The sequence below is a fragment of the Homo sapiens genome, chromosome 16 (assembly GCF_000001405.40).
Source record: "Homo sapiens chromosome 16, GRCh38.p14 Primary Assembly".
Classification (NCBI taxonomy): Eukaryota; Metazoa; Chordata; class Mammalia; order Primates; family Hominidae; genus Homo; species Homo sapiens.
Genome location: NC_000016.10, coordinates 48,224,126 through 48,244,659, shown reverse-complemented (window position 1 = coordinate 48,244,659; position 20,534 = coordinate 48,224,126). Strand labels below are relative to the sequence as shown.

Below are 20,534 nucleotides of genomic sequence, written 5' to 3'. Positions count from 1 at the left end.
GCGCCGCCCGCCGCCGCCGCGGGGGCAGCCAGGCCTACCTGTGCAGCGGCGGCAGGTCCTGCGCGTCGCTGGCGGGGTCAGGCGTGTTGGGGATGACGCCCAGGATGGTGCTTTGCAGCGACGTGCCCTTCAGAAGGCGGCTCCGCACCAGCTGCAGGTTGCGGGCCGAGTCCACGCTGGTGCGCATGGTGGAGCCGGGCAGCAGGACGCCCTCGTGGGTGAGCAGCAGCGGGAGGCGACTGGGGATCTGGATGGGGCTCACTGATGACATGCTGGCAGCCTTTCGCACTGGGGGCTGTCAAAAAGAGCCAGACAGACAGCTGCCCCCGGCCTGCCCCGCAGTCACCAAACCTCAGACCCGCCTCCACGCCTCCGCTTCCGGCTACGCGCTACGGTCCGTCCCCGGGCCCAAAAGCCATGGCTTCGCGCTGCTCTCTAGGAGAGCCTCCCGGTAAGACTTGAGCGTCCTACCTATGCGGAAAGACGTGCACTCAAGCGTGCAGCGACCTTCGCCTCACTTACAGAGTATATTTGGAAGGATGATCTTATTTGAATTGTATATACTTGAAGTGTTTTTAACGTTTTCTTCGATTTTTTACATATACTTGAAGTGTTTTTAACTTTTGATTCGAACTAATTATTTATTTATTTATTTATTTATTTATTCTGAGACAGATTCTCGCTCTGTCGCGGAGGCTGGAGTGCAATGGCGCGATACCCACGGCTTGCAGCCTCTGCCTCCCGGGTTCAAGCGATTCTCCTGCCTCAGCCTCCCGAGTAGCTGGGATTACAGATGCCCGCCACCACACCCAGCTAATTGTTGTATTTTTAGTAGGGAGGGGATTTCACCATGTTGGCCAGGCTGGTCTTTAACTCCTGACCTCAAGCGATCCGTCCACCTCGGCCTCCCAAAGTGCTGGGATTACAGGCGTGAGCCAACGTGCCCGGCCCGAATTGATTTTAGATGTACAAAACTACAGCAGAGTTCCTATATACCTTTCACCCAGTTTCGTCTGTTATCATCTTACATAATCATAGTTCAATGATCAAAACCAGGAAATTAACATTATTATCGTTTAACCTATAGGCCTTACCCAAATTTTGCCAGTTTTCCCACTAATGTCCTTCATTGGATCTGGTCCAGGATCCAATATCCAGGATCCTGTTGTGAAATCTCCTAGGTGTTTTGTTATGAAATCTCCTAGGTGTTCTCTAATCTGTGGCAAGTCCTCAATTTTTTTTTTTTTTTTTTTTTTTTGAGACGGAGTCTCGCTCTGTCACCCAGGCTGGAGTGTAGTGGCGAGATCTCGGCTCACTGCAAGCTCCGCCTCCCGGGTTCATGCCATTCTCCTGCTTCAGCCTCCCGAGTAGCTGGGGACTACAGGCACCCGCAACCACGCCCGGCTAATTTTTTGTATTTTTAGTAGAGACGGGGTTTCGCCATGTTAGCCAGGATGGTCTCAATCTCCTGACCTCGTGATCTGCCCGCCTTGGCCTCCCAAAAGTGCTGGGATTACAGGCCTGAGCCACTGCGCCCGTCCAATTTTTTTTTTTTTTACAACCTTGATACTTTTATTTTTTTTCTGTTTTTAATTTAATTTTATTTTTTATTATAGTTTAAGTTCTAGGGTACATGTGCACAACGTACAGGTTTGTTACATATGTATACATGTGCCATGTTGGTTTGCTGCACTCACTAACTCGTCATTTACATTAGGTATATCTCCTAATGGTATCCCTTCCCCCCCACTCCCCACCACCCAACGACAGGCCCCTGAGTGTGATGTTCCCCACCCTGTGTCCAAGTGTTCTCATTGTTCAGTTGCCACCTATGAGTGAGAACTTGCAGTGTTTTGTTTTCGGTCTTTGCGATAGTTTGCTCAGAATGATGGTTTCCAGCATCATCCATGTCCCTACAAAGGACATGAACTCATCCTTTTTTATGGCTGCATAGTATTCCATGGTGTATATGTGCCACATTTTCTTAATCCAGTCTATCATTGATGGACATTTGGGTTGGTTCCAAGTCTTTGCTATTGCGAATAGTGCCGCAGTAAGCATACGTGTGTGTGTGTCTTTATAGCAGCATGATTTATAATCCTTTGGGTATATACCCAGCAATGGGATGGCTGGGTCAAATGGTATTTCTAGTTCCAGATCCTTGAGGAATTGCCACACTGTCTTCCACAATGGTTGAACTAGTTTACAGTCCCACCAACAGTGTAAAAGTGTTCCTATTTCTCCACATCCTCTCCAGCACCTGTTGTTTCCTGACTTTTTAATGATTGCCATTCTAACTGGTGTGAGATGGTATCTCATTGTGGTTTTGATTTGCATTTCTCTGATGGCCACTGATGATGAGCATTTTTTCATGTGTCTGTTGGCTGCATAAATGTCTTCTTTTGAGAAGTGTCTGTTCATATCCTTTGCCCACTTTTAGATGGGGTTGTTTGATTTTTTCTTGTAAACTTGTTTAAGTTCTTTGTAGATTCTGGATATTAGCCCTTTGTCAGATGGGTAGATTGTAAAAATTTTCTTCCATTCTGTAGGTTGCCTGTTCACTCTGATGGTGGTTTATTTTGCTGTGCAGAAGCTCTTTAGTTTAATTAGATCCCATTTGTCAATTTTGGCTTTTGTTGCCATTGCTTTTGGTGTTTTAGTCATGAAGTCCTTGCCCATGCTTATGTCCTGAATGATATTGCCTAGGTTTTCTTCTAGGAATTTTATGGTTTTAGGTCTAACATTTAAGTCTTTAATCCATCTTGAATTAATTTTTGTATAAGGTATAAGGAAGGGATCCAGTTTCAGCTTTCTACATATGGCTAGCCAGTTTTCCCAGCACCATTTATTAAATAGGGAATCCTTTCCCCATTTCTTGTTTTTGTCAGGTTTGTCAGAGATCAGATGGTTGTAGATGTGTGGTATTATTTCTGAGGGCTCTGTTCTGTTCCATTGGTCTATATCTCTGTTTTGGTACCAGTACCATGCTGTTTTGGTTACCATAGCCTTGTAGTATAGTTTGAAGTCAGGTAGCATGTTGCCTCCAGCTTTGTTCTTTTGGCTTACGATTGTCTTGGCAATGCCGGCTCTTTTTTGGTTCTATATGAGCTTTAAAGTAGTTTTTTCCAATTCTGTGAAGAAAGTCATTGGTAGCTTGATGGGGATGGCATTGAATCTATAAATTACCTTGGGCAGTACAGCCATTTTCACGATATTGATTCTTCCTATCCATGAGCATGGAATGTTCTTCCATTTGTTTGTGTCCTCTTTTATTTCGTTGAGCAGTGGGAAAACCTTGATACTTTTGAAGGATATCAGTCAGTTATTTTGTAGAAGTTCATTCAATTGGAGTTTATCTACTGTTTCTCACGATTAGATCAATGATATGCATTTTGGGGCCAAATACCATGAAAGAGATGTTGTGGGCTGGACGCAGTGGCTCACACCTGCAATCCCGGCACTTTGGGAGGCCGAGATGGGTGGATCATCTGAGGTCAGGAGTTCGAGACCAGACTGGCTAACATGGTGAAATCCCGTTTCTATTAAAAATACAGAAAATTAGCCAGGTGTGGTGGTGCGTGCCTGTAATCCCAGCTACTTGGGAGGCTGAGGCAGGATAATTGCTTAAACCCAGGAGGCAGAGGTTGCAGTGAGCTGAGATCAGGCCATTGCACTCTGGCTTGGGCAACAAGAGAGAAACTCTGTCTCAAAAAATAAAAAAAAAAGTGATGCTGTGGCCATGTGATATATGATGGTGAAATGTCTTATTAATGACGATTTGAATCTTGACTACTTGGTGAAGGTGGTATCTGCCAGATTTTTTCACTGTAAGTTACTATTTTTCTCTTTGTAATTAGTAAGTATTATGTAAGGAGATAATTTCATATTTATTTATTTATTTATTTTTCCTTCAACTTTTATTAGGTTGGTGCAAAAGTAATGGCAAGAAACCGCAATTACTTTTGCACCAACCTAATATTTTAAGTTCTGGGGTACATGTGCAGATGTGCAGGTTTGTTACATAGGTAAACATGTGCCGTGGTGGTTTGCTGCACAGATCAACCCATAATCTAGGTATTAAGCCCAGCATCCATTAGCTTTTCTTCCTGATGCTCTGTCTCCCCCTACCCCTGCCCCCATCAGGCCACATTGTGTTGTTCCCCCGCCATGTGACCATGTGTTCTCATCCTTCAGCTTCCACTTATAAGTGAGAACATGCAGTGTTTGGGTTTCTGATCCTGTGTTAGTTTGCTGAGGGTAACAGCTTCCAGCTCCATCCATGTCCCTGCAATGGACGTAATCTCATTCCTTTTCATGGCTGCATAGTATTCCATGGTGTGCATGTACCATATTTTCTTTATCCAGTCTATTGTTGATGGGCATTTAGGTTGATTCCATGTCTTTGTTATTGTGACTAGTGCTGCAGTGAACATACGTGTGCATGTACCTTTAAAATAAAGTGATTTATATTCCTTTGGGTATGTACCCAGTAATGGGATTGCTGGGTCAAATGGTATTTCTGCCTCTAGATCTTTGAGGAATTGCCAGACTGTCTTCCGCAATGGTCAAACTAATTTACACTCTCACCAACAGTGTAAAAGTATTCCTTTTTCTCTGCAACCTCGCCAGCATCTATTGTTTCTTGACTTTTTAATAATTGCCATTCTGACTGGTGTAAGATGGCATCTCACTGTGGTTTTGATTTGCATTTCTCTAATGATCAGTGATGTTGAGCTTTTTTTCATGTTTGTTGGCCACATGAATATCTTCTTTTGAGAAGTGTCTGTTCATGTCCTTTGCCCACTGTTTAATGGGGTTGTTTGTTTTTAAATTTGTTTGTAAATTTGTTTAAGTTCCTTCTAGACTCTGGATATTAGACCTTTGTCAGATTGCAAAATTTTTCTTCCATTCTGTAGGTTGTCTGTTCACTCTGCTGGTAGTTTCTTTTGCTGTGCAGAAGCTCTTTAGCTTAATTAGATCCCATTTGTCAATTTTTGTTTTTGTTGCAATTGCTTTTGTTGTTTTCATCATGAAATCTTGCCGGTGCCTATATCCTGAATGGTATTACCTAGATTTTTTTTTTTTTTTTTTTTTTTTTGTGACACAGTCTCGCTCTGTTGCCTAGGCTAGAGTGCAGTGGCACGATCTCAGCTCACTGCAAGCTCCGCCTCCTGGGTTCACGCCATTCTCCTGCCTCAGCCTCCCGAGTAGCTGGGACTACAGGCATCTGCCACCACACCTGGCTAATTTTTTGTATTTTTGGTAGAGACGGGGTTTCACTGTGTTAGCCAGGATGGTCTTGATCTCCTGACCTCGTGATCCGCCCGCCTCAGCCTCCCAAAGTCCTGGGATTACAGGCGTGAGCCACCTCGCCCAGCCCTTCTAGAGTTTTTATAGTTTTGGGTTTTACATTTAATCCATCTTGAGTTAATTTTTGTATAAGGTGTAAGGAAGGGGTCCAGTTTCAATTTTCTGCATATGGCTAACCAGTTCTCCCAGCACTATTTATTAAATTGGGAATCCTTTCCCCATTGCTTGTTTTTGTCAAGTTTGTTGAAGATCAGGTGGTTGTAGGTGTAATTTTACATTTATTATTTAGAATTCTACTATAAGAAAGAGCTGTTCCATCTCCCCCATTTATTTACTTACTCAATTACTTTTTAATGTTAGTATGGTCTTACAGATATTTAGTTTTTATGGTTTTTTTTTTTTTTTTTTTTTTTTTAGACAGAGTCTCCTCTGTCGCCCAGGCTGGAGTGTAGTGGCGAGATCTCGGCTCACTGCAAGCTCTGCCTCCCAGGTTCATGCCATTCTTCTGCCTCAGCCTCCCAAGTAGCTGGGACTACAGGTTCCCACCACCAAGCCTGGCTAATTTTTTGTATTTTTAGTAGAGACGGGGTTTCACCGTGTTAGCCAGGATGGTCTCGATCTCCTGACCTTGTGATCCACCTGCCTTGGCCTCCCAAAGTGCTGGGATTACAGGCGTGAGCCACCGCGCCCGGCCTAGTTTTTATGGATTCTAATCCGATAATATTATCTTTTTTTTGTTTTTTTTTGCTTGAATTGTTTTGGATTTGACCATTTCTGCATGTTGAGATTTGACTTGGGTTTGGCCTTAGGTTGCAGGTGGAACATTTTCTCCAATGTGAAGTCCAGCAGTGCTTTCAGAATTCCAGAAGGAGTTGAAAGTCCATTCATATCAAGAGTTATTTGTTAAGCGACTTCTCAGTGCCAGGCCCTGAGCTAATTGCAGAAGGGTAGACAGGTCCCAAAACAAGGTCCTACTCTCAAGCATCTCTCAGCCAGGGGAACAGACCCATAGACATCTGAGTATGAGGTAGGGCAGACAGAACTGTGTGTTTATATGTGTGCAACAGATAAGGGAAAGAGAAATCAGGTTACTAGGTGCTGTGGGAGAGACACAAATATAGAAACTTAGAAGCTCCTGCCTAAAGCTCTTTGTCTGACAGGATCCCACCTTCTTTCATTCATTCACTGAACATCATTTTCACATTGCTTAATATTCATTTCAATAACCATTCACTAAAAATATTTTTTGAACACCTATGATGTGCTGGACACTATTCTAGGTAATGGGGAATACATCAGGGAATCAGACAGACAAGATTTCTGCTTTCATGAAGCTGACATTCTAGTGGGAAAAACAAACAATAAGCAAGGAAAGAAATAAGGAAAATATTTCTGGATAGTAATAAGCCTTTTAGATGGTCAGGGAAGGTCTCTGAAAAGACGACATTTGAACTGAGCCCTGCAGTATGAGAAAGCATAAATCAATGCAAAGATTAGGGGGTGGGGGCCAAGGGCACTGTTGTAGGCAGAAAAAGCAGCACTTGCAAAGACCCTGTGGCTAGAATGAATTTAGGGTGTTTGAGGAACCTGTTCCTGGAATGTCTGAGCTTGGGACCTAGTGATTTCAGTTGCAATAAGGTGGGCAGAGTCAGATTATAGAGGGCTCTGTAGGCTCTGGTAAGGAGTTTGGGTCTTACTCTAAACCTGACGGAAGCCATGGGAGAGATCAAGTTGAGGAATAACATTATCTAGCTTATATTTTCAAAAGTTAATTTTGACTGCTATGTGGAGAATGGAACGTAAGGATTTAAGATCAAAAGCAGGGAGGCCAGTCAGGAGGTGGTTGCAGTTGTCCAGGCAAGAAGTGATGACTTAGACTAGGAGCAGTTGCTGTCAAGCTATGTTTGATTGTAGCTTCAAGAGAATATGCTGATGGATTGGACATGAAGATTTAAGGAAAAACAGTTGAGAAGGATTATCCTAGGTTGGGGCCTAAGCCACCAGGGCCTGGAGAGAGGTTGAGCCAGTAGCTGAAGATCCTGGCTATAATGAGGGTCTCATTCACTTCTCTGGATATGTACAATGTGCCCTACCTTGTGACAGATTCTGAGGGTGGTACAGAGATAAAACATATGTGGCCCAGATTCCCAAGCGCTTACCTTTTCATCAAGGGTCTCTCCAAGGGTAAGAGGGGAGGGGCTGCATTCATTCAGGCTTCCAGAGTTTTAACAAAGAACTTCTAAAACCAGCTTACAAACTTTATGGTATATTTTTAAAACACTAATGTTTAATAATTTTAACCCACTTATGCCGGAGGTTGCAATTTTTTTGGATTTTTGCAATCAGACCTCGGTGATGACCTTGAGCAGTAGGATATAAATAACTTTCACATGCTTAGCATTCCCATAATGGAACACTAGGCATCAATGGCCTAATACATACATGTGCCCCAACAACCACAATAAACAATACTATATAAATGTTCTGTTCACATAATAATGGCTGGATTTAGTTTTTAAAACACAAATTAATGCTGCTCTATAGAAGATGTGGTGTGGTGTGGGAATAGGCCCAAGTTTAACCTGCCTGCTTGATGAAAACCCTCTTTCAATCCTGTCACTGTATCTCTGTGATGGGATGTGTCAGCCTACTTTGGAGAACACCAAGAATTTAAATGTGAAGTCTTTCGTGACTGTGTGGCTTTCCTAGCTCCTTTTTTGACAGACTCTGCATGTACTTCATTCATTGATCCATTGAATATTTGTTATGCATATACTATGTGCTGGGCACTCTTCTAGACCCAAGGACACATCTGTGAACATGACAGACAAGGTCCCTGGTTTCAAAGAGCTTACATTCAATGAGGTATGCAGAAAACAAATAAGCCAACAAGGAAAGAAATGGCAATTTCAGAATGTGATGAGTAAAGGAAGTAGATTAGGAAAATATGCAGAAGGTGGTATGGAGAGAGGGGATCTGGGAAGGTTACTCTGAGGAGGTGGCATTTGAGTAGAGTCCTGAATGTCAAGAATGAACCAGCTCTGCAAGGAGGTGGGAGGAGAATATTCTTGTCAGATATTAGGACTAATGCAAAGATCAAGGTGAGAGGATCATCCTAGCTTCTGAAATTGAGGAGAAGGCCAGGTACTGAGATGTGGGGATTCTTCAGGCAACAAGATGCCCTCCTGAAGCTACTGAAACTAACAGAAGGAAATAAACCTAAGAGCAGAGAAAGTTAAATAGCACAGGGCGAGGTACAGGAGGAGTAAGATCTAATCACTTAAACTTCTTTAGGGCCCAGCTGGCAGGTGCTTCTGGCTCCTTGCCCTGGACACTTCCTTAACCACTGATGTACCTTCTGATCTTGGACACTAGACCCTGCTGCATAAGAACATGGAAATAAATCAGCTCCTCCAGAAAGCCCATGATACAGGTTACCCCGCTCCAGTGGCTCCCCTCCTGTTCACAGTCTGTTTCACCATACGCAAACAACCCACGTCCAAACCAAATTTGTCATCCTGACCTTTGCCTCTGGGGATTGGGAAAACACAGGGCTGGAAGCATCTGCTGTTTCCTCTCTATTTTATTCCCAGTCATGTCCTGGTTTCCATCCTGACTACAATGATGGTCTTACACCAATTAGAGTGAATAAACTCCAGCTCCATTTTCTTCCGGAAAGAGAATTGGGAGTCCAGGGAATGCTTCCGGGACTGCCAAGGAAGGTTCTGGAGGGAATTCCCCTGGTCAGTCCAGGAAGTGGAGATGGGCCCCATGGAACTGGAAGGAGGCCCAAGCTAATGTGTGGCTGAGCTCGAGCTCGTTTGCTTGGGATGAGCGACTGATGTTCTGCAAACATAACTATTACAATGTTTGCATTTTCTTAATTTTCGTTGGGTTTCATTTTCCATGTCGTTAGTTTCCTGGATGAATCTTGAATAGGAAAGAGTCACACTATGTGCTGGGCACTCTTCTAGATCCAAAGACACATTTGTGAACAGGACAGACAAGGTCCCTGGTTTCAAAGAGCTTACATTCTAATGAGGTATGCAGAAAACAAATAAGCCAACAAGGAAAGAAATGGTAATTTCAGAATGTGATGAGTAACCCTCATTGCATCTCTTTGCATCTCTTTGCATCTCTAGTTGTGAAACCTTCGTTACCTCTCTTTGCAGGTGTATTTGAATAAACCAGGTTGGCAAATCATACTATAGCTGAAAGGTGAGAGAAAATCTAATTTCTTTACTTGGTCTTTATAAATCTGGTCTTCCTCATGATCCCCCACTTGCTGGTTAATGAGGGAAAAATAAATGTTTTGGCTTACCATTTTAAGACCTTGTTTGAGCCAATAATTTAAGTCATTTTATCAAATAATTCTCACTAAAGGCTCTGTCTAGGAGTTGTCACCTGGCAGAGAAAGAATCAGGAACCTGGGCACAGTGACCTCTGCTCCTAGGCTTTCCCAGGGGAGGTCTTTTGTCTACTTGCTCACTGCCTGTCCTGCTGTCTTTGCAAGCCAGCTGGATCTTGGCTTGCACAGTAATCCTTTTTTGGCTCACTCACCTGGGGATGTTCTCTGAGTTGCTAGGCCTCCCCTGTCCCACTTCTGTTGGCAGCATAACCCCCTCCAAGATCTCTCCATGACTCTCAGCTGTTTGCAACCTGGGTTGTCCACTATGACACTTCTGGGAAGCCCTTCACCCAGACTTTTAGCAACTTCTTGTTCCCATCTATACCACAGGGAAGCCAAGAAAGCTAACCACCAGGCACAGCCAGCCACAGCCCATAGAGCACTTAGAAGTGAATTGGAAAATGATGTGCCCGGCAAGACGAGGATTTAGGAAAAGGCAGCACTCTCGCAAGATGGATGCCACAGTGGTCGGCTAGTACCTGTTCATACTGCCTCATGACAATCATCGGTCAAATTTTCATGAACTTTGAGAGCATAGCTGCTAAACACAAACATTAATAAAAAAAAAATTATATAAACTTACAATTAAATAAATTACATCAAAAACAAAGATAATACTCAAAATGTATCATTTCCTACTTATTTTGCTACCTTTTGCTGTTATTTATACTTCTGAGGTTACTTACATCTATTATATCTCTATGGTAGAAACAGTATATGATGATGCCGTGCTGCGCATCTCTTCCCAGCTCTGCATTCAGTGGAGTTATGTTGGTATCACATCACGAAATCGGCCATGATGGGTGTGTTTACACCACAGAAATAGGCAAAGGCTACATATCAGGGCTGGATTTATCATTTTGTTGATTGTCTAGTCTTAAGAAAGAAATGTAGGAAATGTTAATAATGCAGATTAAATGTACAAGTGTGTGGTGCCTGTAGCCATTACATTGTGAGTAGTAAAATAAAATAAGGGAATATTCTTTCAGCATTTGAAAACTATTCAGCAAAGTTACTCAGGTCATTGGCAAATGAGTGAAGATTCAACCAACATATATCTCTGGTATTGCACTTTCCTCTTACTTGTTAACATAGAGCAAAATGTCAAGTAGCATTGGAACTATACTTAATCACCAATTGCAACCACAGGTTTGTTACAGATATAAACGTTTATGAGCACAGCACTGAGGCAGCCCTTTGCAAGGATATGAGACTTGCACTCTGAAATTTGCTGCCTCCACCCCTTGCTCTATTCCCTTTACTGGGGATCTTTGTGTGTGAATAAATCATACAGCAATATACCGTGGCCCCATCCACAGGGCCTCATTCTAGGGAATCATGCCAGTTTTAATTTAATGCAGCTATATTCTAGGCTGGTTCATGGCAGCCAGTCTTCCTCCCAGAGCTGTAAAGAGTGTGTGTCACTCTCTCTTATCTAATACACCTCCTTCTCTCTCTTTTCTCTTTTCTATCATCCCTGAAGTGTCCACATTCTACCACTACATGGCAAGTAAGCCTATGGCCTGGTGCCCTGGCTGGGAAGCCTATCTTATATGGTCTGTAGGAAAATTCCAGCAACTGACTCTACCAGATCTGGTTGTGATTTGGTAAAAGGAAGTGGGATGGGAAGGAGTGGGACAAAGAAATCTAGAGTAACTTCTCACAAAGTAATGGGTTAGCTTGCAGTCTATTTGCTTGAAGTACAATCCAATATTTGAATGTTTGTTTTGTTTTGTTTTTTGAGATGGGGTCTTGCTCTGTTGCCCAGGCTGGAGTACAGTGGCACAATCTCAGTTCATTGCAACTTCCACCTTCCAGGATCAAGTTATACTTCTGCCTCAGCCTCTTAAGTAGCTGAGACCACAAGCGTGCACCACTACGTCTAGCTAATTTTTTATATTTTTGGTAGAGACAGGGTTTCGCCATGTTGCCCAGGCTGGTCTCAAACTCCTGAGCTCAAGCAGTCCTCCCGCCTCAGCCTCCCAAAGTGCTAGAATTACAGGTGCATGCCATCATACCCAGCCTCAGTATTTGAATGGTAAAAGCTATATCTGAACACCAGGACCAACTACATAATTTGTGGGTAACAGTGCAAAATGAAAATGAAAATGAAAATGTGGGTCTTCTTGTTCAAATTTATTAAGAATTTCAGGATGGCAACAGAAAAGCATTCAACTGAGCCTGGGGCCCTTCTGAGTGTGGGGCCCTGGGGGGCACAGGCTGCACCCTCATGGCCCTGGCTCTGCTGCACACTTTCTCTTTCCATCTCTTCAGAATATTCCTAATTACTACCTTCTCTCCTGTCCCAGGCACATGAATATTCTGAGTCAAGCAGGGAGTGAGTCACATACTCAGAAAAACAAATATGAAAGTCATATTTTTTTTTTAAAAAAAGAACCCTGATTATTTAAGTCTCCTAACTTGTCCCCAGATTCCTTCTGGGGTCTGTGAAAACCAAGAGTGAAAGCAGGGAAAATGATGTTTCTTTCATTCACATATGTGTCCATTCATTCTTCATTTATTGAGCACCTGCTCTCCTCCCAGCACGTTCCAGGCCCAGGAAATTCAACAGCGAGGAAAGCAGACATGTCCCTGTGCTCATGAGGCTCTCTGTGTAGTGCATAAATGAAGTCTGAACAAATAATGATTCAAACAAATACACAGTTAAAGACTGGGATAAAGCAAGAAGACTGATTTTATGAGCAGGGGTTTGATACATCAAAGGAGATTGCCCAGGATCAAGGGTGCGGTGTTGGGGGTGGGTTGGGGAGGGTGGTTAGAGAAGGTTTCACTAAGTGATTTGGGCCTGAGGCCTGAGAAGATGTTTAAAAAGAGGGATCAAGCACAGGCTAAGGAGAGGAAAGAGCAGGCACCCAAACCTCTGCATGGCCCCAATATGCTCCCTGCAGGGTAGTGCCCCCTCTTCTGGCTGCTCAAGGCGAGATCTAAGCTTCTTCTAACTCCTGCTGTCTTTTCATATTCTCTGATTCTGGGAAACGAAGAATTGGCAGGAACTGAAAATGACTAGGAAGAGGACATACTGGGTGCCCAACTCTTCTGGTGGCCTCGTGAATCGTGGCATCGACATAGGCGATGACATGGTTTCAGGACTTATTTATGTAAGTAGATCTCTTAGCATCAGCACACCAGGAAACTGAGTTGGCAGAATATTCTCCACGGTCATAAATTACGTCAAACAATTTCTTCCCATACTTATTTACCCTTGAATTTTTTTTCTTTTCTCTTTTTGCTCTCTCTCTCTCTCTTTTTTTTTTTTTTTTGACTCAGGGTCTTGCTTTGTCACCCAGGCTAGAGTACAGTGGCACAATCATAGCTCACTGACACCTCCTGGGTTCAAATGATCCTCCCACCTCAGCCTCCTGAGTAGCTAGCTGGGACTATAGGCACATACCACTACGCCCAGCTAATTTTTAAATTTTTCACAGAAATGGGGGTCTCCCTATGTTGCCCAGGCTTGTCATGAACTCCTGGCCTCCATCCTCCTGTCTTGGCCTCCCAAAGCACTGGGATTACAAGCATGAGCCACCCCACCCAGCTACTCTTGATTTTTTTCAAATAGACCTCAGGCTTCCACAATGAGATCAATTATAATCCATCATCATGGCATACCTTCATGGTTTATGCATATCTCTATGCATAATATTATATAGAGATTAGATTGTATCTATCTCTCTATCACCTATTACCTATTTATCTATGCATTTACTCATATTAATAATAATAATAATAAGCATCTGCAAACCCATCACCAATACATCAGCTTGGACCTTGGCAATCACACGCAGCAATTGGTCTTCCCCCATGTCATTCCCCAACCCTTCCTACCTGATGTAACCACTATTCTGAATCTCTTTCTGTCAATCCTTGCTGTGCTTTTAAAAAGTATTATTTTATATAGAATATATTATTTATTCTATATGAAGTCCTAAAAATTACCTGTCCTTTTATTTTAGTTGTCAAAAGGGAAACATATAATATTTTAGGATTTGCTTTTTTACTTGTTGGTTTCTTTTTAGTAGATTTACCCTCAAAGAGTGACTTGGTCCCTCATTCTGCAGGTAACTAACTATGGCACCCTTTATTCCTGTCTAAATTGTTTACTGTCAGATAAAAATCCAAAGAGGTAGAGTGACTGGGCCAGACTCACTCAGCAAATGTGGGTCAGAGCGAGTGCTGGGATCCAGTTGCCCTGACTCTCGGTCCCCTGCTTATTCTCGGTATGGAAGCCTTTCTTTAGGAAGCAGGATATGGAAAAATCCATTTCTCCATGGGCAGCTGGTCCAACATTCCCTCAGGACAGAATTTACGAGATTTGAAACTGATGCTCTTTTGTTTTTCTTTTCCAAGAAAACCTATACTCTCCAAGATGGCCCCTGGAGTCAGCAAGAGAGAAATCCTGAGGCTCCAGGGAGGGCAGCTGTCCCACCGTGGGGGAAGTATGATGCTGCCTTGAGAACCATGATTCCCTTCCGTCCCAAGCCGAGGTGAGTCCTGATGGGGGTGGTGGGAGAGAGCTGTATCCACCAGGGCAATGATCCCCAACCCTCCCAACTAGACCTCTCACGAAGGTTGCATAACTACATCCCTACACAGCCAAATCCCTTCAGAGCAGCCTGAGGCACACCAGGGAGGCACATCGTCATAGCCATTCATTCATTATTTATTCATACAGAAAGGATCATTGAGCACCTACATGTGCCAGGCACTGTGCTACATCACAGGGGAAGAACAGTGAGCAAACAGACGTGATCTTTGCCATCATGGACCTCACATGGGAGAGAAAGACAATAAGCAAATAAACTTGTGCATGACATGATTACAAGCTGTTTGAGGAAGGTGCTGTGAAGAAGTATGCGAGTGTTGAGGGACCGGAGAACCATGACAACTTGGTAGGTTCTGAGTGGCTTAAGCTGAGTGACACCTAGAGGGAGAACAAGAATTTCCTAAGCAAGAGTAGGAGAAGAATGATCAAGGAACAGCCTGTGGGACAGCCTTGCCTGGAGGGGCAAGGAACACAGCATGATGTGTCCAGGAACTGAGAAAGAAGGAGGCCAGTGTCACTGGAGAGTCTTGTGTGATGTGGGTGTGGCATGAGGTGAGGCTGCAGAGGCAAGCGGATCAGACAGGTTCTCAAAGGCCACATTAAAGTTACCAGCCGGCCGGGCGCGGTGGCTCACGCCTGTAATCCCAGCACTTTGGGAGGCCGAGGCGGGTGGATCATGAGGTCAGGAGATCGAGACCATCCTGGCTAACAAGGTGAAACCCCGTCTCTACTAAAAATACAAAAAATTAGCCGGGTGCGGTGGCAGGCGCCTGTAGTCCCAGCTACTCAGGAGGCTGAGGCAGGAGAATGGTGTGAACCCGGGAAGCGGAGCTTGCAGTGAGCCGAGATTGCGCCACTGCAGTCCGCAGTCCGGGCTGGGTGACAGAGCGAGCCTCCGTCTCAAAAAAAAAAAAAAAAAAAAAAGTTACCAGCCTTGGTTATGGGAGTAACCAAGTTGATTTCCAACATGTTTTCTAAGATTTTTATCTATCAACAAACTGCATTTGTTTGCCCATTTTTAAAATCTGAGCTTCTGTCAATACTAGTTACATTGTTACCATATTGAATTATGTTATCTCCACCAAGAACAAAGAACCTTGGTACTTTCATTCACCTGGGTAACCTCATCTTAGATAAATATATTGTTTCTGTTGGGGCTTTAAGATATTAGCACTGGCTCATAGGTCTTGCCCTGTCTTTTGTGATCACAAATGGTACAATCTCTTGCCCTCCCCTCACCCGCTCCTTGCTCCAATATCCCTGGCAATGGCATGTGGCCAGCCTTGTTGAGAATGCTGTGAGGATATGAAAGGGTAGAGAAAAGACGTCATAGTCCCTCTCCCCTACCCCCCAAAAGAAATCTTATAAGTTCGGCATTTTCATCTTCCCATCTTTCTCCTCAAGTCTCTTTTCGAATTGCATTTTCTTCCCATTGAAACACATAAACTTAAAGGCAATTTTGAAAAAAAAAAAAGTGGAAAAATGACACATAATCCCAATACCCTAATTTAGTCATTTTTGGTATTTGTAAATCATTCTTAAAGGTAATACCTTATCATCTTTAATTATTTATGTATTCAATTTTATTGTTTGTAAAAGTTTCACAGAAGAATTAAAGCCTTGAGGACCTCTCTTCCTATTTCTTTGTCAACTCCAACTCCTTTTTCAATGTCAACCACTATCAGCAATGTGATATAAATGTACATACTGTTTTGTCTGCTTTCTCTCCTTTCTTCCTTTTTTATATAAGTGAAAAAAATACTGAGTTTTTTTTTTCTTTTGAGACGGAGTCGTGCGCTGTCTCCCAGGCTGGAGTGGTAGTGGCGTGATCTCGGCTCACTGCAACCTGTGCCTCCCGGGTTCAAGCGATTCTCACGCCTCAGCCTCCCGAGTAGCTGGGATTACAGGCGTGCACACCACCACACCAAGCTAATTTTTGTATTTTTAGTAGATACAGGGTTTCACAATGTTGGCCCGGCTGGTCTCGAACTCCTGACCTCAGGTGATCCACCCTCCTCGGCCTCCCAAAGTGCTGGGATTATAGGCATGAGCCACTGGGCCCAGCCAATACTGAGTTTTTAATCTGCAAGTGGCTTTTTTTTGGCTTTTGCTTGGAACTCTTCCTGTGTTTTACATATAAACAAACCTTATTGAAAAAAAAAAAACCCCAAACATCTACATTGCATTTGCATTTTATAGTATGGGTAGATCATAATTTCTCTCTTTTTGTTTAAATAATTCCTCAATTAATGGGCACTTTTGTTGTTTATGATTTTCAACTTACAAATAAGAGTCATGAAAACATGTTTGTGTGTAGATCTGGGTAACCTCGTTGTGTTTTAATATGGTTGTCATTCATCCTTGCAAAATCTTGATCCTGAATTCATTCTTATCCTTGTGGCCCCTCTACTAGGTTTCCTGCCCCCCAGCCCCTGGACAATGCTGGCCTGTTCTCCTACCTCACCGTGTCATGGCTCACCCCGCTCATGATCCAAAGCTTACGGAGTCGCTTAGATGAGAACACCATCCCTCCACTGTCAGTCCATGATGCCTCAGACAAAAATGTCCAAAGGTGAAGCTGCGCTGGGCAAACCAGTGGATAGGTTAAAAGACAATCTCTTGGTGGGATAATGACCAGAGATGCCTAAGGGTGGTAGGGAGGGGCCATGCCAGACGACTTGGCTCTTCCTGTAGGAAGAGGCCTCATACTAGGTGAGGGTTTTTAACGTGGGGTTCATGAATCTCCTAAAATGGTATGGATATTTTGTACATACGGGCTGGAGATCTTTCTCTGGAGCAAGAATTCACATCTCTTATCAGACTTACCACAAGGCTTGTGAACCCAAGAAAGTTATTTTTCATTTTTTTCTTTTATTTTTATCACTATTTTTTTTTTTTTTTTGAGATGGAGTCTTTCTCTGTCACCCAGGCTGGAGTGCAGCGTGGTGCAATCTCGGCTGACTGCAACCTCTGCCTCCTGGGTTCAAGTGAGTCTCCTGCCTCAGCCTCCCAAGTAGCTGGAATTACAGGCGCTTGCCACCACGTCCGGCTAATTTTTGTATTTTTAGTAGAGATGGGGTTTCACTATGTTGGCCAGGCTGGTCTTGAACTCCTGACCTCAGGTGATCCACCTGCCTTGGCCTCCCAAAGTTCTGGGATTACAGGTGTGAGCCACCACACCTGTCCCAAGAAAGTTAGAAATGACCACTTCTAGTCCCTTTTGATTTTCTCTTCTGGATCAGGCATTCAACAGTGGCACTGAGTATTACTTTGGGTAAGTGGCCCAGTCTCCCAGTGCTCAAGCCACCGCTAACTAGTTGTGTGATTAAATTTCTTGTACCACCCACCACACACGGTAATATGAGGACAAAAGGTGGGAGAATATGAATATGTGATTTTAAAGATCCTGTATTCATGTTCCTACCTCTAGCTGCTTCATGAGAGATACCAGGTGGAAAATGAGTTTCCAAATGTGTTCTGGAAATTATAGTCTCATAAGAGCCTCCCCATAAAGAGCATTCAGTAGTCAGAGGAGTTTGTGAAATGTTGTGTTATAGCCAGGTGTTGGAGATTTACAAAGCAACTTAACACATTGAAGGCACATGTTTTCACATGGAGTACAGAAACTGGGTAAACTTTGACCCATTCCTTCTCAGACCTATTTGGTAAGAAAAAAAGAAATGGTTCCAGGAAATACTTTTTGGATAATGCCAGATATTAGTCAGAATCTCACCTCTTACTATGATATCAGACAAGTTTCCCTTTCTGGGCCCTGTGTCTTTATGTATAAAATAATGGATTGGCCGGGTGCAGTGGCTCACGCCTGTAATCCCAGCACTTTGGGAGGCCAAGGTGGGCAGATCACGAGGTCAGGAGATCGAGACCATCCTGGCTAACAGAGTGAAACCCCATCTCTACTAAAAACACAAAAAAATTAGCCAGGCATGGAGGCGGGTGCCTCTGTAGTCCCAGCTGCTCAGGAGGCTGAGGCAGGAGAATGGCGTGAACCCAGGAGGCAGAGCTTATAGTAAGCCGAGATTGCGCCACTGCACTCCAGCCTGGGCAACAGAGTGAGACTCCATCTCAAAAAAAAAAAAAAAAAAAAAGTGGATCATAAATTTATTTCATGGTCCTTCATAGGATTGTTGCAAGAAACAAAAGAGGTGATAAATTCATTTTTTAAAGTACACAGAGAATCGCTTGAACCCGGAAGGTGGAGGTTGCAGTGAGCCAAGATTGCGCCACTGCACTCCAGCCTGGGTGACAGAGTGAGACTCCATTTCAAATAATAATAATAATAATAATGTACCTGGAAACACACTTGATGCTTAATAGGTAACCAGCTAAGTCAATTTGAGTTTGCTTGTTCTTCTCTAACCATTGTGAGTACAAGATCTCCTGATTTCTTTCCATTCTCTTCCAGTTCACTGATTCTCTTTTTAATTTCGTTACTTACAATGTCTGTCCACAAACACTTTTGCAATCACTCCGTTTTTGTTTTTTGTTTAAAGATGAGATCTCACTATATACGCAAACTACGAAATACAGAAGGAATGGAAGAATTAGAAAACTCATCATTTTTCCAGCACTAGTGGAGGTGGCGCTAGGCAATGGTCATCAGTGTTGGAGATCTTGATAATGAAGGAGCCAGGCTGACACACCTTAACCCACTGATCCCCACCAACATTCCTAAAAGTGGGACACCAGACATCATGTGGTTCCTGATGTGAGGCGACAGGAAGTACACTCATCACCTCTTACATTTTTTTTTGCCAAACGGCTGGAATTCTGGATTTCATTAAGCCTTAGGTCTAGTGACCAGTTTATTAGGAAGCACAAGGGATCAACAATTATGTTAGACAACACCATGGAGATGCAATCAGTCCAGTTCAGAGTGTGGGAGATCCTACAGGATAAATAAAAATCAGTTTCTCCAACAAATAAATGGCATAGAAATGCAGACAAGGGGAAACGCTTACAGATTAAAATGCAGCTCAAGAGTTCTATCAGATTTCTCCTTTAGACCTTGTTTGGATCTTGATTCAGAGAAACTAACTCTATAAAGACATGTTTAAATAATTAGAGAAATTTCAATACAGACTGGGCATTAAATGCCATTAAGTAATTATTGTTACTGTGGTGTTATTTTATTTTATTTTATTTTTTTGACAGAGTATCGCTCTGTCGCCCAGGCTGGAGTGCAGTGGCGCCATCTCGGCTCACTGGTTCAACTCACCTCCCGGGTTCAAGCCATTCTCCTGCCTCAGCCTCCCGAGTAGCTGGGACTACAGGCACCCGACTGTAGTGTTATTTTATTGTTACTATTTTTTTTTTGGTTTGTTTTTTGTATTTTTTGAGATGGAGTCTCACTCTGTCACCCAGGCTGGAGTGCAGTGGCATGATCTCGGCTTACTGCAACTTCTGCCTCCTGGGTTCAAGCAATTCTCCTGCCTCAGCCTCCCAAGTACCTGGGATTACAGGCGCATGCCACCGTGCCAACTAATTTTCGTATTTTTAGCAGAGATGGGGGTTTCACCATGTTGACCAGACTGGTCTCGAACCCCTGACCTCAAGTGATCCACCCGCCTTAGCCTCCCAAAGTGCTGGGATTACAGGCATGAGCCACTGCGCCTGGCCCTGTGCTATGGTTTTTTAAAGGACTTTATCTGAAAGAGATATATACTGAAGCATTTAGAGATAAAATGATATGATGACTGAGATTTGCTTCAAATCCTCCAGGAAACAAAAGTCAAAGGGAAGAGACATGAAACAAAAATGTCAAACATTTTTGATTCTGGAAAGGGGGATGAGTACTCAGAAGATTACTACATTGTTCTATTCTGTTATGTTTGAAAATTTCTGCAACAAAGCTCCTGGCTAGCAAGAACTAGGATGTTTGGATGTCACATGCAAAGAGATTCCACCAGTTCCATTATCCTCTTTTCAAGGCTTCACCGCCTTTGGGAAGAAGAAGTCTCAAGGCGAGGGATTGAAAAAGCTTCAGTGCTTCTGGTGATGCTGAGGTTCCAGAGAACAAGGTTGATTTTCGATGCACTTCTGGGCATCTGCTTCTGCATTGCCAGTGTACTCGGGCCAGTAAGTGGCAGACTTGGTGAGGTTTGGGGGACTCTAGGCTTCAGAGGTTTAGCGATGGAACTGCGGGCATGTTCAAGTCCATGCCAGGAGTTAGAGATGCATTTGTCTTTCAGTTGCTGTCTAGAAAATGAAGACCTTTTGAGGACAGTAGAGCAT

General features: G+C 43.4%; 2 protein-coding genes across 19 annotated transcripts in view, besides 1 other annotated feature; one reads left to right on the top strand and one right to left on the bottom strand.

The window, feature by feature from the left end:
- The window catches only part of LONP2 (lon peptidase 2, peroxisomal), a 118,704-nt gene extending 118,344 nt beyond the window's left edge, over positions 1-360 (bottom strand). For all 7 annotated transcript variants that reach the window (NM_001348078.2, XM_047434738.1, NM_031490.5 and 4 more), the window contains exon 1: positions 39-360. In NM_001348078.2, the coding sequence (NP_001335007.1) occupies positions 39-271 (233 nt within the window). In that variant the 5' untranslated portion in view covers positions 272-360. The remainder of the gene's footprint in view (positions 1-38) is intronic.
- ABCC11 (ATP binding cassette subfamily C member 11) overlaps positions 1-20,534 on the top strand; it is an 82,721-nt gene that overhangs the window by 2,880 nt on the left and 59,307 nt on the right. For 4 of the 12 annotated variants that reach the window (XR_007064925.1, XM_017023799.3, NM_001370496.1 and 1 more), the window contains exons 1-5: positions 72-451; positions 12,721-12,837; positions 14,087-14,223; positions 16,696-16,854; positions 20,231-20,378. Coding sequence is in view for 11 of the 12 variants with exons in the window: in XM_017023799.3 (XP_016879288.1) it covers positions 12,739-12,837; positions 14,087-14,223; positions 16,696-16,854; positions 20,231-20,378 (543 nt within the window). In the remaining variant the exon portion in view is untranslated. Of the gene's footprint in view, positions 1-71; positions 452-9,482; positions 9,529-12,388; positions 12,838-14,086; positions 14,224-16,695; positions 16,855-20,230; positions 20,379-20,534 lie in introns of those variants that run through there. The other 8 variants (XM_017023798.3, XM_017023801.3, NM_001370497.1 and 5 more) reach the window with 4 other exon arrangements.
- Positions 335-424: an enhancer, noted in NCBI's record as "active region_10791". NCBI's record gives its function as "activates an Ori minimal core promoter by ATAC-STARR-seq in GM12878 lymphoblastoid cells {active_cell/tissue: GM12878}" and the evidence as "EXISTENCE:reporter gene assay evidence [ECO:0000049][PMID:35858748]".